We start from the raw sequence: 18,118 nt of genomic DNA, 5'->3' as shown, positions 1-18,118 counted from the left end.
CTCTTTGGCTTCACTGACATAAAATGCAAAGGAGTAATTTCGAGGGCTCAAAAATATAAAACTCATGGGATAAACCATGAGTTTAAATATGCACAAAGAAGCAGAGAACTGCGTCTTTTTTGTTTTTGTTTTTAAATAAATGAAGCCAAAGGGTTTGAGTAACTTGCCCAAGGTCCCTTAGCTTGCTATGACAAATTGGATAGCAATAATAGGTAACCCTTATATAATTCTTATCATGTGCCCTTCTAAAGTCTTCACTTCATCTATTGAAACCTCACAACAATGCTATGAGAGGATTATTATTACTTCCATTTCACAGACATGGATACCAAAACAAGTAAAGAAGATAAGTAGTTTTCCCAAAGTAATAAAGCTGGGATTCAAGCCCAGGCAGTTTGCCTCCAGGGTCTGTATTTTTACCAACTATGCTGTCCTACCTCTTAGATGAAGTCCCTGATTGCTTTCTGGTGCTTTTCTGTCTGTAATATAGTACCTTTTGAGTTAATGGCCAGAAGTATTCATAGATAGAACATGTTATACTTGGTGTTTTTTTTCAAGCAAACACACAGATACATGCATTAAACTCTTCAATTAAAAAGGGAAGTAGAGAAGAAACCTAAGTAGATAAAAGGAATATAACAAAATAAATGTAAAATAAAATACAAATATAACTTTGCTTTGGTGGTAGGAACTAAGTAAAAAACTAAGTAAAGGAACGTATCAAAATAAATGTAAAATAAAATACAAACATAACTTTACTTTGGTGGTAGACCTAAGTAAAAATCAGGTTGACAATTGCTCAGAGACCTATTACAAAAATTGGCTGCATCATGATGTCTATATTGATTGTATTTTTTTGTTTCACTTTTTTTTTGGTGGGGGCAGGGGGTCACATCAGTTACAAATTATTCTGCCCCCTCAAGCAATATTTTACCTTCTGAGACACAGCTGCTGCTGAGCTGAGCTCCTATGAACTTAACTTTTCCATCTGAAGAAGCTTTGGCAAAATTCCAAAGCCCATCTACGTTGGTAAATTTTCTAAGGACTCATTTCCCTTAAGATTTATGCCAACAAACCTCTATCATTACTTCTCAGACTTTATATATATATCTGTCAAGAAAAAGAGCTGTTTTGGATAATACGTTAGTTACAACTTACATTAGAATAACATCTACAAGTAGTCTTAGAACGATTCTGACAATCTAAATCATTCTTCATATAAAATATTTGTATTGTTGGGAGTATCCATCTCTTTGGCTCCACTGACACAAAACACACAAAGGCTCCACTGACATTTTGTAACTTTGAGGGCTCAAAAATATAAAACTAGCCGGGATCAACCAGCTAGTTTTATATTTCTGAGGCCTCGAAGTCGCAAAATGGAAACAGATCACTGCTTTGGACCCTTATAACCAAATGCGCCTCTCAGATCATTATTAACCTAAAATAAGAAAATGGAGAGTGCTGAAGAAATTACAGAGAAGTAATTTTCCACCCAACTTGATGAGGAAGATCCACAAAAAACACATTTCAGAGTACAACACAGTAAACATCCACACCCACATATACAGCAGGCAGATTTTCCCAAAACAGTACTTACTCTTACTAAATTGATTTTAGCTGCAACCCACTTCATTAATTTCAGATCATCCCTGTGTGTCACCTCCCACAATATGAAAACTATTCTAACAAATTATTAACCTAAAAGCTTCCAAGAGATAGTCTTTAAATATCCTAGATTAAACAAACAAAAACCTATTCTAAAATCAGAAGCTTCATGTCAAGAGAAAATGACAAAGATTAATTTTATTCAAAATACTTAAATATTACAATAGACAGATGACATTCCCTCCAGTAATCTTTTATGGAATCTAAAAGTAAATCTTTCACAAGAAGTATTTATCATGTGACGACGGAGAAAGTAAAATACAAGCCTTACCACAGTGGACTTGCTCTGCCCTTTCCAGGAGACAGACAGACTTCTAACGTAGCAACACAAGCCCAGGAAATGAAAAGAGAATGAGGAGGGAGGGAGCAAGGATGACTCAGGGAGAATCACAGCACATGAACCAGTCTGTGCCCTCACCGGGCTGCAGGGCAAATAAAAGTCAAAACTGAAACTAAGAGGAAATGGTGATCAGACTTAAGGAGAGGGAAAAAAACCACACTCTTCAGAGACGCATGTGAAAACCTGGCATTTGTAAAAGTGTGACATTTTCACAAAACACTTTCACATCATTATTTTTGTGAGACAGAGAAGCTATTCTTCCCTTTTTGTAGTTGAAACTGAGGTTCAGAGAAGTTAAATGAATCCTTCCAAAACACAGGGCTAGTATTTGGCAGAGCTGGGGCAAGAAACAAATCTTGTGATTTCTAATCCTTTTCTCAGTTCATCATTCGCCGGGTAAAAAGGCAGAGTGAAAAAAAAAAAAAAACAAGGTAGAAAGAGAAAACAGGCTGGGCAAGGTGGCGCATGCCTGTAATCCCAGCACTTTGGGAGGCCAAGCGGGGAGGATTGCTTGAGGCCAGGAGTTTGAGACCAGCTTGGGCAACATAGTGAAACCTCTCTCTGCAAAAAATAAGCCAAGTGTGGTAGTGCATGCACACCTGTGGTCCCAGCTACTAGGGAGGCTGAGGTGGGAGGATCACTTGAGCCCAGGAAGTTGAGGCTGCAAATGAGCCATGATCATGCCACTGTACTCCAGCCAGGGCAACAAAGCAAGACCCTGTTTCTAAGTCCTAGCCATTTCTGTTAATAATTCAGAAAACAAAATATTATTTTTCTCCTTCAAATCTATATGTCCAAAGCCTGCCTGTTCCTAACTGACTATGTGCTATATCACTCCATTCATCCAACAGATTATGGCTGCTGGCACCACCTCCTCTGCTGCAGGTTTTCAAAAGTAGCTGCACCTTGAGAGGTAGGCAGTTTGTTTCACTTGATGTTGTGTTCAAGTGACTAATGACAAATACATTCCCCGTGGAAATCATACCACAGGCTTTATATAACAGACATGCGATATCATGTGGTCAAATGATTCTCTTCTGGAAGGGTTTTAAGAGCTGTCAATGTAATGTTCAGCACACAGTATCTTAAGGAGATTCATGTTGACAGCTTATGTCACAGGATACATTTTCACCAACTGGCATTAAAAAAAAAGCAATATCGGCCGGGCGCGGTGGCTCACGCCTGCAATCCCAGCACTTTGGGAGGCTGAGGCGGGTGGATCACGAGGTCAGGAGATCGAGACCATCCTGGCTAACACAGTGAAAACCCATCTCTACTAAAAATACAAAAAATTAGCCGGGTGTGGTGGCAGCCATCTGTAGTCCCAGCTACTTGGGAGGCTGAGGCAGGAGAATGGCGTGAACCTGGGAGGCGGAGCTTGCAGTGAGCCAAGATAGTGCCACTGCATTCCAGCCTGGGCGACACAGGGAGACTACATCTGAAAAAAAAAAAAAAATGCAGTATCTTGGGTTTTTGTTTGTTTGATACAGAGTTTCGCTCTTGTTGCCCAGGCTGGAGTGCAATGGCACGATCTCAGCTCACTGAAACTTCTGCCTCCCTGGTTTAAGCAATTCTCCTGCCTTAGCCTCCCAAGTAGCTGGTGTTACAGGTGCCTGCCACCACACCCAGATAATTTTTTTTTTAATCAATCAAAACCTTTAATGCTCAGTTTTCACAATCAAGTCTATCAAATTTCCAGATTTACAGCAAAATGTGCCCCCTAAAAAAGTGTACATTCTTCAGTTTCTCCTATACTTTTTTTTTTTTTTGCCTATCTTTCAAAACTGAGCACTGGGTATTTTTAACATAAGCCATGTCATATGTACAGTTTAACTATGTTTCAGGAATAAACAAAATTCATGATATTTTAGTAACTCACAGTGTATTTATAGAATGAAAAGTTCTCTATCAAAACACACTTTTCACTGGGAAAAATAAATAAAATAGACAAATGGATCTACACAAAGTAAACATTAACTTTGGTAGATTTCAGTGCAGTTCATAACAAGCATATTTGCCCTTATTCCCCCAGAGCTGCTCAACTAAGAATTTTTAAAATACTTTAACTGAGATTTTATTATGTTGACATTTGTTTCTCATTCCACATCATCTTCAGCCACACCCAGATGATTTTTGTATTTTTAGTAGAGATGAGGTCTCACCATGTTGGCCAGGATGGTCTCAAACTCCTGACCTCAGGTGATCCGCCTGCCTTGGCCTCCCAAAGTGCTGGGATTATAGGCATAAGCCACTGCACCCGGCCTAATATCTTAGTTTTAAACACAAGCAAATGGAGAGCTTAGACCGAACAATGTGAAATACAGATTGGACATTCAAATTTAGAGATAAAACACATTTGAAATATTAATGAAGGCCAGGTGCAGTGGCTCATGCCTGTAATCCCAGCACTTTGGGAGGCCTAAGTGGGTGGATCACTTGAGGCCAGGAGTTTGAGACCAGCCTGCCAACATGGCGAAGCCCTATCTCTACTAAAAATACAAAAAGTAGCTGGTCATGGTGGCACACACCTGTAATCTCTGCTACTCAGGAGGCTGAGGCACAAGAATAGCTTGAACCTGGGAGGCGGAGGCTGCAGTGGGCTGCAATTGCGCACTGCACTCAAGCCAGGATGACAGAGCAAGACTGTTTCAAAAAAAAAAGAAGTATTAATGAACTAGTTATCCATGCAGTAGATCTTTTCTTTTGGCACAGATACTGGAGTTGAGTAATATACTTACTTTCTCTGTAACCAATTACAATCACCAAACAAACCTTGATGTACTACATCATCATAAAACTGAAAGTTGAGAAGGGAGTGCATAATATTCCCTGCATTTTTCTTCCCTTGTTGTAAAGCACCATATGGGATAAATGGCAGTTAACCTGGGATGTCTCCTGGCTATCATACAAACCATACACTACAATAGCCAAAGGTTTTAAAAAGTACTTAAGTAGGAAGACAACAATAACAATAAATTGTCGCAATTCTTATTTTTAAGAACAGCTCAAAAAATATTTTTATTTTCCTAAGACAAATGTTCAGGATTTTATTCAGTAAGCATTTACCAAGCACGTAAACCTAGGATGTTCGATATTAGTATCCATAGTAATTAAATTTACATATTTTAAAAATTAACTCAAACCCTCAGATGCATAGTGGCTAAAAAACAATAATGAGTAGTATACTTTATGAAAAGTACTCTCTCTACAGAATCACTGACTGTTGGGCAAATTACAACAAATAAACTTAAAAACCATTTCTAGGCCCAAAGAAAGAAAGAGAGTCCGCATAAATGTCCAGGGGTCAATAATTACAACTTTTAGTCACCTACAATTGACAGAACTAAAGGGAAAATGGAAAATCTACCACCATAGTAGCAAATAGAACATGTCTCTCTTAGTAAATAATTAGACAAAATAATTGGAAATGACTGAAAGATTTAAAATACGTATTATTAAGACTGATTAAATGTAAATGGACACGTACAGACTTCTGCACCAACCATTAGAGAATACATGTTCTGAAACATACATAAAAATATACATGTGTGTATATACATATACATATGTGTGTGTGTGTGTGTATATATATATTTTGTTGTTGTTGTTGTTGTTGCTCTGTTGCCCAGGCTGGAATGCAGTGGTGCCATCTTGGCTCACTGCAACCTCTGCCTCCCGGGTTCAAGTGATTCTCCTGCCTTGGCCTCCTGAGTAGCTGGGATTACAGGCACATGCCACCAAGCCCAGTTAATTTTTTGTATTTTTTTGTACAGATGGGGTTTTGTCATGTTGACCAGGCTGGTCTTGAACTCCTGACCTCAGGTGATTCACCCACCTCAGCCTCCCAAAGCACTGGGATTACAGATGTGCACCACTGCACCCAGCCCTATATATATATTTTTTAAATTGATCATGATAGTAGGCTATAACTCAAGTTTCAATGCCACGATGGTCGTGCTTTCTGATGAAACAGAATTAAATTAGTAATTGAAAACAAAATTTTTAAACCTGTAAGTATTTAGAAATTAAAAAATACATTTCTAAGTAATTCAAGGGTCAAAGAACATATAAGGAAAATTTATAAACAACTGAACCAACTGAATAATAATAATAATTACATATCAAAAAGTACGGGATAGAGCACGGCACAGTGGTGGGCACCTATAGTCCCAGCCTGTGCTCTTGGCTATTCAGGACCTGAGGCAGGATCACTTGAGCCCAGGAGTTTGAGACCGAAGCCTGCCATGATAGTGCCAGCAATTAGACACTGCACTCCAGCCCGGGTAACACAGCAAGAACCCATCTCTTAAGAAAAACAACAAACCTAATTTTTTTTCAAGAAAATATTTTTAATATATAACAGCTCATACCCAGCCACCTTGCTGAATGATGTACTCTGCCGAATAGTCCTCCAGGTATGTCACGCCAAACTGCAGCAGTGCGCTCAAAGGTTCTTGACCACGTCTTGTCAATTCCAAAAGCATTTGTCGTAGCAAAACCAGAGGCACCAAAATCTTCAATGCAAAGATGAGAGAATAAAAAACCACACTGAAATTCTTATAATGTGTTTTATATGTTCAACTACTAGAAAATTATATTTAAATGCATCATTAAGGTATTTTTATTTTCATTATATAAAGGAAATAAAACAGTAACTTCTATTAGGATTTTTCTGAATACTGCATGTAGGTTTTATACAATAGGCAGGTAGAAATAGTTATTGAAAATAATTAGGCATGTGTGTGCATGTATGTGTGTGACAGAAATAACATATATAGAAGGAAATTCACTGATGCATTATTAATTAATTAATTTCTTTTTCCTTTTTTTTTTTTTTTTTTGAGATGGAGTCTCGCTCTTTCATCCAGGCAGTGGCACAGTCTTGGCTCACTGCAGCCTCCGCCTCCCAGGTTCAAGCGATTCTCTGCTCAGCCTCCTGAGTAGCTGGGATTACAAGTGTACGCCATGACGCCTGGCTAATTTTTGTATTTTTAGTAGAGACGGGGTTTCACCATGTTGGCCAGGCTGGTCTCAAACTCCTGGCCTCAAGTGATCTGCCCACCTCAGTCTCCCAAAGTGCTGGGATTATAGGCGTGTGCCACCACGCCCAGCCTGAAGCATTATTTATAACAGCAGAAAACTAGAAAAACAACCCAACAGGGACTAGTTAAATAAATTATTGTCATCCAGTAAAATATATAGTTGTTAAATTGCTTACTACCCAATCACCACAATTTACTTTAAGTGAAAAAAGGCAAGTTATAGAAGAATACATACAGTACCATTTGTGTAATAAAAACATATACACATATATATATGTCTATATAATCCTACAGGGTCTCCAGAAAAATACGCAAGAAATTGGTAATAGTGGTTGCCTAAAAGGAAGGGAACTAGGTGACTGGCAACAAGGATGAGAGAAAACTTTTATTTTTCAAAGCATATCTTTCTGTACTTTTTTGCATTTTGTACCATGTGCTTTTATTATTTGAAAATAAGAACTTTTAAAAACTAAGAGCTATCTTGTAAAACTCATCAAAAGTCAAACATAAAAGATGCCATTACAATCTATACCTAATAACCATGTGGCTCAATACTTAAAAGTCGTCAAAAATTACAACAGAAACTAACTAGAGTCCCTGTCTTCCCTTAAAAAAAAATGCATATTGAAAAAAACTAAGTATTCAGGTAGCCATCTGCATGCAATCTCTTTTGTTTAAAACATCAAGAGGTCCATATGCCTGCAAAAGGAATGCAAAAGGAAATGAAACCAATTCCATTTGCTTGTTAGTAGACTGCCAAGGAAATAACTGAGGGACGACAAAATACTTCTGCAGGAGGACAAACAAAAAACAATGAGTTTATATTTCAAACTAATATTCCTTGGCTTCTAAAGAAACGAAGAGAAAGCAGCCCTGGGGGAATCTCTATCAAAATCTGAAAGGAAGCATGCAATGAACACATAATATCTTTACTTCTTGACATTCTAAAGGCACTCCAGCCCAAAATATATTGAAAACTCCTTCTTAACAATGATGGAGTAGTATAGGGCTATAAAGAAGAATCCATTAGGCATTTCCTCAATAAGAAAACTTACACTATTAAACAAACAAACAAAAAACTGTTTATATTTTGCCTCGGGTAGAAGCAGGTAAGGAGTGGCTTATGAACCAGTGGTGCTAACCTGTGTATCAACTTAAAGGCCCGGGATGTTCTGGACTTCAAAACATTCTAATTTCCCATAATAATCCACAATAATGTAACATTTTAAAGTTATTCATGTTTAAGCTCTATTACCTCTTGGGGAAATGAGTTGTAAATATTTTATGCTTGTTATATAAAATACCACTTAGTTTTATTTGTTCCAAATTTAACTCTTTCATATATCGAAAAGCAGACACCCTAGTTTTACTATGTAAGAATCTAGTGATAAATCTGCAATTCTCTTTCACTCCTGGAAGAGGAGTGAAAAGCCTCATTCACTAGACTTCCAGTCTGAAATCCACTATTCTCTTATTCTGTTTTTCATATGGCCATTGCTCCATTGCAATGCAAAGTGATCCATTTGATCACTTAAGTTCCCTTTTCTGGATCTTCCCTATTCCAGTATCTTTCTTGAAACGCAGTAACCACAGAGCAGAAATGTCATTTTTCAGGACGGACATTTTCTATGCGGTTGGTAATACGCTTCTTGGTGGTACATGCTATGTCAGATGATTCGTTTTTTTCCCTTCATTCCTCATACAGTTATTAAATGACTACCATATACCAGGCTTACCTATTTGGCATGCTATCTTCAGGGACCTGTATGATGACGTCCAAGGCCACTGTACCGTTTAGATTGTCTTTAAGCAGCTAAATCCTAAGAGGATTTACACATAATCCTACACACAAAGCTCCATGAGTTAATTCTACAACTGACCTCCATCAACTTGACATTTTACTATCCACAAGAATTTTACATAATCTGCACAACTGATTTTTTTTGGACTCTCATCTCCCACATTACTTTTTTTAAATGTTAAAACAAAACTAGATCCCCAGGCATCCACTCCTAGAAGAACCCACGATTCACATGTCTAGGTCTAAAAAGTCAGCAAATAGTTTTATCTTTGATTCTTTCTCAAAAGTCATTTCCTTACTGGATAACAGTAATCCCCACATCATATATAATTTTTTTTCTTCAATTGTTTTTGCAATGAAATGCTAAAGTATTTTTGACCATCAAAACAGATTACCTCCACTGGCTTACCTTTATCCACACACTTATTTAATCTCCTGACATCTCTTCGTACACTATGTGGTCTCTTTGTTTAACAGGTTAGACCTACTTAAATTTAGGGACATTATCCTTTTATTAAATAATATATGAGCTTGCTTGGTGTAGAAATGAAGCGTACTAATTTATAGTTCTGAGAGTCCCTTTCATTACAATGAATATTTATGATAACAGTGACATATTTTGCTCTACCAATCTATTTAACCCTTCTGTGACTTAACAGTCCTAATAAAAATCATATTCTACAAATTTTATCTGTACTGAATTCATTGATTAGGTTTGTCTTTGATTTGTGTGCTTCAAAATACAATGTAAGAGACAACCAGATATTATATGTCACCCAGTGTGATGCAATAGGAAATAGATAAAACCACTCATTAGGTATTCTTGCCAAAAAGATTGAACCTGAATCTGATCAGGAAGGAAATACAGACACAGAAGAACATGTTAAGTGACATCTCAGTGATATAGTCAATAAAACCCAGAAATGAGAACATTTTACAGGAAAAATAACTTGTAACTGAATTAAAGAGAGGAAAAAAGAGGGAGGATAAGTCTACATATTAAAAGAGACTTCAATCACATATTATATTACTCCATTTATTTGAAATGTCCAGAAAAGACAAATTCATTAAGACAGAAAGTAGTCATTGTTGTCGGGGGCTGGGAGGAGCAGGAAAGAAAATGGGGAGTAACTACTAACAGGTGGAGTGACTACTAATAGGTATGGGCTTTCTTTTCTTTTTTTTCTGAGACAGTCTGGCTCTGTTGCCCAGGCTGGAATACAGTGGCATGATCTCGGCTCACTGCAACCTCCACCTCCCAGGCTCAAGCCATCCTCTCACCTCAGCCTCCCAAATAGCTCGGCTCAGAATACAGGTGCACACCACCATGTATGGCTTTTTTTTTTTTTTTTTTTTTAAGAGACAGGGTCTTGCTATGTTGCCCAGCCTGGTCTCAAACTCCTGGGCGTAAGTGATCCTCCCGCCTTGGCCTTCTAAAGTGCTGGGATTACAGGTGTGAGCTACTGTACTGCATCCAGCCCTTTATAAAATCTATTTCAGGCCAGGTAGGGTGGCTCATGCCTGTAATCCCATCACTTTGGGAGGCCAACAGAGGCAGATCACCTGAGGTCAGGAGTTTGAGACCAGCCTGGCCAACATGGCAAGACCCTGTCTCTACTAAAAGTACAAAAATTAGCTGGGCATAGTGGTGGGCACCTGCAAGCCCAGCTACTTGGGAGGTTGAGGCAGGAGAATTGCTTGAACCCGGAAGGGAAAGGCTGCAGTGAGTGAGCCGAGATTGCACCAATGCACTCCAGGCCTGGACAACAAAGCGAGACTCCAACTTGAAAAAAAAAAAGGCCAGGCACAGTGGCTCACACTTGTAATCCCAGCAATTTGGGAGATTGAGGTGAGCAGCGGATCATGAGGTCAGGGTTGGAGACCAGCCTGGCCAACACAGTGAAACCCCATCTCTACTAAGAATACAAAAATTAGCTGGGCAAGGTGGCAGGTGCCTATAATTCCAGCTATTTGGGAGAATCGCTTGAACCTGGGAGGCGGAGGTTGCAGTGAGCCAAGATCAAGCCACTGCACTCTGGCCTGGGCGACAGAGTTAGACTCTGTCTCAAAATAAATAAATAAATAAAATAAGTCTATTTCAAATGTCTATATCAGAGAGAATATTTTCTCTTATTCCAAAAAAACAAACGAGGCAAATAGATATCTTAACAAATTATGTACCGATAGGTAACATACTAATACTCTGTTAATAGTGACTATTTGAGAATAAGGTCCCATGTGTTAAAGCTAATATAATAGCTGCTGTTTACTGAGCTTTACTATGGTGCCTGATAATATGCTTAATAAGTACTGAACATGTATTATCTCATTTAATTCTAATAAAACTTATGAGACTAGTATTATTGTTTCCCATTTCACAAATGAGAAAACTAAGACTCAGAGAGCTTCCTATAACAAACCTGCACATACATGTCCCCCGAATCTAAAATAAAAGTTGAAATTTTATTTTTTTTTGAGACGGAGTTTCACTTTTGTTGCCTAGGCTGGAATGCAATGGCGCAATCTTGGCTCACCACAACCTCCAACTCCCGGGTTTAAGCAATTCTCCTGCCTCAGCCTCCTGAGTAGCTGAGACTACAGGCATGCGCCACCATGCCCAGCTAATTTTGTATTTTTAGTAGAGACGGCGATTCTCCACGTTGGTCAGGCTGGTTGCAAACTCTCAACCTCAGGTGATCCGCCCACCTCGGCCTCCCAAAGTGATGGGATTACAGGCATGAGCCACTGCACCCGGCCGAAATTTTTTTTTTTTTTTAAAGAGAACCTGCCCACAGACATATATCCAGTCCATGGCAAAGCTAAAATCTGAAACAAGTTTGGTTATGTACCTAATATACATCAATTAGGTACATAAGGTCACATGTCTGACTCATGACAAACAATTCCAAATAGAGGTAGGTGTCTATAAAAGTAACTGTCCTGAATTTTCTCATCTCTAGCACTGTATCCCTCAGGGCTGCCCTTCTTTCTCACACTGCACTAAGCCACCCTATACTGCATCCCCCTATACCCTGCCTTCTCAAGGTGCTAAGTAAATAATACAGTCTAAGATAATAGATAAGCAACATGTACAGTGGAAAAAACAGACGCTAGAATCAGATCTTAGCTCTAGTGTTGGTTCCAATATTGACTGGTCAAGGGATTCTAGGCAAGTCATTTAACTTTTCTTTCTGATTACCTACCTAACTAGCTAAGTAATAAAGAAGACCTAATAAAATCCATTCTGTCTTCTGCAAAGGATGGTTGGGATGCTCAAATGGTATGTGACACGAGACACTGTGTAAGTTATAAAACATAAATGGTATTATTCATCTAAGAGAACAGGAAGAGGCTACCTCCCAAGTAAAGTCTGTATTCTTTTTCCCCAAGACACACTCACATGTTAATAAATATATAACCATCTGGAGATAAATGTTATGTCTAACACAGAGAAATGAAGAAATGATGGGAAAATTGGGACAGAAAGGAAGGGGCCATACTATAGGACACATAATTTTGAGCCAAGCAGGACCTTGCAGCATTAATCGAAAAACCAGTTTAACCAAAAATATCCCCTTAACATAGATTTGTGCATTAAAGAATGAGCTCTAACAGTTTTCTGCTGATGATGCTAGCAATTCCTCCTACGTCTTATCATTAACACACTAAAATCTTTTAAGAGAAAAGATCATTGTGATGATACCTTATTCCAGCCGCTGGCATGAACTGTGGTCTCCAGTGTACATTCCCGAAATGCCTGATATGTCACTGGCCTGTAGAGATTTTTTTAAAAGTCTGTGTCACAAAGAAGGAAAATTCTGTATTTCCAGATGAATACATATACAGTCACTACTCTGTTGAACTTTTTGCTAAACTGACAAAGATTATTCAACATACTGTTTTGTACAAGACGTGGCTTTTCACACTAGTATGCACTTTTTTCAAGCATTCTATAAGCTGTGATGCATGCCTGGGAAATAGTTAATAACATAGCAAGATAAATGTATATTCTAGTAATTTTTTTGTAACTGCTTGGAACTTACAGGATAGGATTTTTATGCTGCAAAGAAATACCTGAATTATTAATACAGGATAAAATAATAACAAAAATGATCTCATTAGCACAATGAAAACCAGAATTTTAACTTTTTTTAAAGGTAAAAAATCTAAAATATTTTAAAACTAAAGAGACATGTCACTGGAAGACTTTTCATATTGAGGAGACAAGAGTTGAAATAAATATCGCAATAAATTGAGTCCACTTTTTAAATTTTTAATTAAAAAAATTTTTTTTGGCTGGGCATGGTGGCTCATGCCTGTAATCCCAGCACTTTGAGAGGCCGAGGCAGGTGGATCACGAAGTCAGGAGATCAAGACTATCCTGGCCAACATGGTGAAACCCCGTCTCTACTAAAATACAAAAAATTAGCCAGGCATGATGGTGTGTGCCTGTAGTCCCAGCAACTCGGGAGGCTAAGGCAGGGGAATCGCTTGAACCAGGGAGGCGGAGATTGCAGTGAGCCGAGATCGCACCACTGAACTCCAGTGTTGGGAGTTTACAAGAAACGAAGGCTCAGGGAAGGCTGAACGTTACCATGCTAGATTTAACTATTGGCATGAATATTTTGGTCTTTCCTTCTTCCTGAGTATCCAGGAAAGTATATTTTCCAGCCCCTTGCAGTTAAGCAGGGCCATGTGGTTAGCCCAGCCAATGAAATGTGGGTGGAAGTGATGGGTGCCACTTCCTGGCTGAAGCAGGAAGAGACTTTCTGTAATTATCCAGTCTCTTTCTCTTTCTTGCCCTGATGGTGGTAGACGAGGCTGTGTTGAGGTCCTGGAACCATAAGTTCCAAGTGGTTCCTCGCATTGCTACGTGGCCACACCTGTAGCAGATTTGCATGACGCCAAAGGAACTTTTCTCTCGTGAAGTCACTGAGATTGAGGGATTGCAGCAAATCTCAGCCTACCTCAATTAATACATCCTACAGCTGGGAAGTGGTGTGGCTGGGATTTGAACTCAGATCTCTCTGACCACAGACTGAAAACAGAATCAGGGAAGACGGTTGTAGATTCAGGGACACACATTTTCCCCACCACCTGCATTTTAACATTTTGAAATCAGGTTTCATCTGATAATCAATGGCACCTCACCACAGTTGTTGGCCTGTTGGATGTTAAGATTCTGACACATGCCATGACAATGTCTCGATGTCACATGTAGCTAATGAGCATTAGAAACGTAGCCAGTGTGCTGAAAGTATAATATACACACTAGATTTCAATGAGGAAGAAAAAACAATCTAAAATAGCTCAATAATTTTTTGTACTGAATACATGTTGAAATATTTGCACTGGTGACAGTGCAAGACAGTGCAAGACTAAAAATTAAAAAAAAATTTTTTTTTTTAAATGGAGTCACCTATGTTGCCCAGGATGGTCTCAAACTCCTTGGGCCCAACTGATGCCTCCTACCTCAGCCTCAGTGCTAGCTGGGATTACAGGCCTGTCCCACCACCCCTAGCTGGAGTCCTATTTTTAACTTGGAGTGTTATGATACAAGGGTAGAGAGATAAGCCTTTCTGATTATTTCTATGTAAGTCCTAGTCATACCAAAAACTCGAATCATTAACAACACTCACTCATTTGTTGAGTGACTTCAAGTACTTTATTTAAAGCACGGTTTCATGCATAAATTTTAAAAACAAAAGACTTGGGGACCAAGTAACATATGAAGGCATCAATTGTTCAGATAACAGATTTAAAATTAAAAAAATCTATTAATTAAAAATTAATAGATTAAAAATTTACCTTCCCTCCTTTTGGGCAAAGTATTAACAAACATGTTAAGAAAGAATGGGCTGGGTGCAGTGGCTCACGCCTGTAATCCCAACACTTTGGGAGGCCAAGGCAGGTGGATCGCTTGAAGTCAGGAATTCAAGATCAGCCTGACCAACATGGTGAAACCCGTCTCTACTAAAAATACAAAAATTAGAAAAAAAAATACAAAAATTAGCCTGGTGTGGTGGCACTCGCCTCTAATCCCAGCTGCTCAGGAGGCTGAGGCAGGAGAATGGCTTGAACCCAGGAGGTGGAGGTTGCAGTTGAGCCGAGACTGCGCCACTGCACTTCAGTCTGGGCAACAAGAGCGAAACTCCATCTCAAATTAAAAAAAAAGAAAAAGGAAAGAAAGAAGAGAAGGAGTCTTGCTTTTGCAGAGTTTTAAAATCCCACCCCAGCCAGGTGCTGTGGCTCACGCCTGTAATCCCAGCACTTTGGGAGGCTGAGGTGGGTGGATCACCTGAGGTCAGGAGTTCAAGACCAGCCTGGCCAACCTGGTGAAACCATGTCTCTACTAAAAATACAAAAATTAGCTGCGCGTGTTGGCGCATGCCTGTAATCCCAGCTACTCAGGAGACTGAGGCTGGAGAATTGCTTGAACCCGGGAGGCGGAAGTTGTAGTGAGCCGAGATTGCACCACTGCACTCCAGCCTGGGTGACAGAGCGAGACTCCGTCTCCAAAAAAAAAAAAAAAAAAAAAAAACAAACACTAAATAAATAAATAAATAAATAAATAAATAAACTACCCCAAAGGCATTTTTCTGCTCTGTCCACTGTGACCTATGACTTCCTTAGTTTAAGAATATTTAAGATTGATAATAGCTACCACTTACTGGTAGCTTATTATGTTAGGTTTTAATATTTCATATATTTATATTTTATATTACATATTATTATATCACATATTTGGAAACCAAAGCTCAGAAAAGCTAAGAAATTATCCCAAACCCACATAGCCGGAAAGCAGCAAGGCAGGAATTCACACTCAGATCTGGTATCAAAGGCCATTATACTACTCCCATTTCAAGTTAAGATTCTGACACATGCCATGACAATGTCTCGATGTCACATGTGGCTAATGAGCATTAGAAACGTGGCCAGTGTGCTGAAAGTATAATATACACACTAGATTTCAATGAGGAAGAAAAAACAATCCAAAATAGCTCGATAATTTTTTGTACTGAATACATGTTGAAATATTTTAGATGTACTGGGCTAAATAAAATATTAAAAATTTTACATTTCATTTTATTTTTTACTTGGCTGCTAGTTTTTAATTACATTTTAAAACCACATTATATGTGACTTGCATTGAATCGCACTGGTCTAGATATTTCAGAAAAGAATCCTGATGACACAGGCATCATTCTTTCACCTAAGTCTGTATCAAATCAATACTACAGTGATGCTGAAAGGAAATGAGATACCAGAGATGGCCTCTGTAATGATGAAATGTATACAGCATATGCTATCTTCCTGGCATCACCTTCCCATTAAAGTGAGCCTAGTACTTTTCAGATGCCTTGGGCTAAGTAGCAGATTCGTGTAAACCTTGAACTTCAGCAGATACTACACAGTCTACCTACCTATAGTTTCCCTGAAGCTTTACTTGCATATATCAGTCCCCTCACTTCCTTTCCTGAACTGTTTGGTGCTGCTGGGGGTCACAGTAGTCCTTACTGGTTGTTTGTCTACCAGGCTAAAGTATTTTAGCATCGTTCTGAATGAAACATGATTTGAAACATCATATACACAGACATACATGCACAAAAAATGCAGCAGATTAAAACATTCAAAGGAAATCAAATACATAGAAAAGTAAGTAGCTAAATAACCAATCCTACCTAGTGAGCTATTAGAATAGAGCAAAGAAGAAAAGAGCGGGGCAGGATACCTTTTTGAAACAGCTGTTGTTCTTCTGTAAGAAGGGTTCAGCAATAACTTCCTACATTAACAAAACCTTTTGGAGGAATCAGTGGTATTTTCTACCTTACGATACTGCCTTCAACGTTTATAATACTTCTAGTTTATGTAGTTTATCATCCATTAGTTATTTTCAAAGTACTAGTAACAGAGCTTAAAACTTCTAAAAACAGATTTCTGAAAAAAGAAAGAGACCTGACTTTGATACATAACCAATTTCAAAAATAATTCTATCAAGATTTGGGAAAAAAATAAACATTTGTCCAAGCCAATTCTCCTTTAAATAGAATTTGCTGTGAGAAGACATCAATTTTTCCTGTAGATCATAAAAAGGACTTCAGAAACAATACTTTTAAAAACTTACATAACACTGTTTTTTGAAGAGCTTATACTACACCATAAAGTTAAAATTAACACATGGAGAACTGAAATATTAAGGGTGACATGGTTTGCTCCAAGCCAAAGTCTGTATCAAATTTGGAAAAAGATTCTTTTTTTTTTGTTTTTGAGACAGAGTCTTGCTCTGTCACCCAGGCTGGAGTGCAGTGGTGCAATCTCGGCTCACTGCAAGCTCCGCCTCCCAGGTTCACACCATTCTCCTGCCTCAGCCTCCTGAGTGGCTGGGACTACAGGCACCCACCACCATGCTGGGCTAATTTTTTGTATTTTTAGTAGAGACGGGGTTTCACTGTGTTAGCCAGGATGGTCTCAATCTCCTGACCTCGTGATACGCCCGCCTCGGCCTCCCCAAGTGCTGGGATTACAGGCGTGAGCCACCGCGCCCAGCCAGGACAAAAAGATTATTTTAAAAGTCTGCACCTTTCACTTCATTATTTTACTCCTGGTCCAGATAACTTTTACATTTTTGTGGAGAGAGGAGTGAAGCAGCAAATTTCTTTCTTCAAGTCTTAGATGTAACCTCAGAATATAAAATATATGAAAGTACACGTGCTCTGGTTAAGAAAAGTGGGAAAATAAATAAATAAGGCTAGGTACAATGGCTCACACCTGTAATCTTAGCACTTTGGGGAGGCTGAGGTGGGAGAGTTGCTTGAGGCCAGGAGTTATAAGACTAGTCTGGGTAACATAGTGAGACCCTGTCTCTACAAAAAATTTAAAATAAATAAATAAATAAAAAAGAAAGAAGAGTGGAGAGGCCCTAATGAGCTTAACCCACTTACTATCCCTCACTTCTTCAGGACCCCTGCAGCACCTCTATGCCTAAGGCTCCATAGAACACTTTTTGAAAACAACTGCTGTAAATCCAAATTTCCTGTGTAAGTTTTATTTCCCAACACCCATATACTTCTCTCCATATTTATATTTAAATTTTACTATATATTAGGTTAAGAAAATCCAAATACGACTTTTTTAATTTTTATTTTTAGAGACAAGGTCTTGCTCTGTTGCCCAGGTTGGAGTGCCACAGTGGTGTGATCATAGCTTACTGCAGCCTCAAACTATTGGGCTCAAGTGATCCTCCCACCTCAGCCTCCCAAGTGGCTG

General features: G+C 38.7%; 1 protein-coding gene across 26 annotated transcripts in view, besides 2 other annotated features; it reads right to left on the bottom strand.

Annotated features, from left to right (window-relative positions):
- BCL2L13 (BCL2 like 13) overlaps positions 1–18,118 on the bottom strand; it is a 101,979-nt gene that overhangs the window by 22,091 nt on the left and 61,770 nt on the right. For 8 of the 26 annotated variants that reach the window (XM_047441286.1, XM_011546120.2, XM_011546119.2 and 5 more), the window contains 2 exons: positions 12,555–12,624; positions 6,379–6,522 (listed from right to left, as the gene is read on the bottom strand). The exons of 5 other annotated variants lie outside the window; for them this stretch is intronic. In XM_047441286.1, the coding sequence (XP_047297242.1) occupies positions 6,379–6,522; positions 12,555–12,624 (214 nt within the window). Of the gene's footprint in view, positions 1–1,939; positions 1,985–4,980; positions 6,523–12,554; positions 12,625–15,435; positions 16,410–18,118 lie in introns of those variants that run through there. 13 more of the 26 variants (XM_017028725.2, XM_047441287.1, NM_001270727.1 and 10 more) reach the window with 7 other exon arrangements.
- Positions 2,333–2,382: an enhancer, noted in NCBI's record as "active region_18628". NCBI's record gives its function as "activates an Ori minimal core promoter by ATAC-STARR-seq in GM12878 lymphoblastoid cells {active_cell/tissue: GM12878}" and the evidence as "EXISTENCE:reporter gene assay evidence [ECO:0000049][PMID:35858748]".
- Positions 2,403–2,452: an enhancer, noted in NCBI's record as "active region_18627". NCBI's record gives its function as "activates an Ori minimal core promoter by ATAC-STARR-seq in GM12878 lymphoblastoid cells {active_cell/tissue: GM12878}" and the evidence as "EXISTENCE:reporter gene assay evidence [ECO:0000049][PMID:35858748]".

This window comes from Homo sapiens, chromosome 22 (assembly GCF_000001405.40).
Source record: "Homo sapiens chromosome 22, GRCh38.p14 Primary Assembly".
Lineage (NCBI taxonomy): Eukaryota > Metazoa > Chordata > Mammalia > Primates > Hominidae > Homo > Homo sapiens.
The sequence above is the reverse complement of the archived record's forward strand: the minus strand, read 5'-3'. Positions and strand labels throughout refer to the sequence as shown.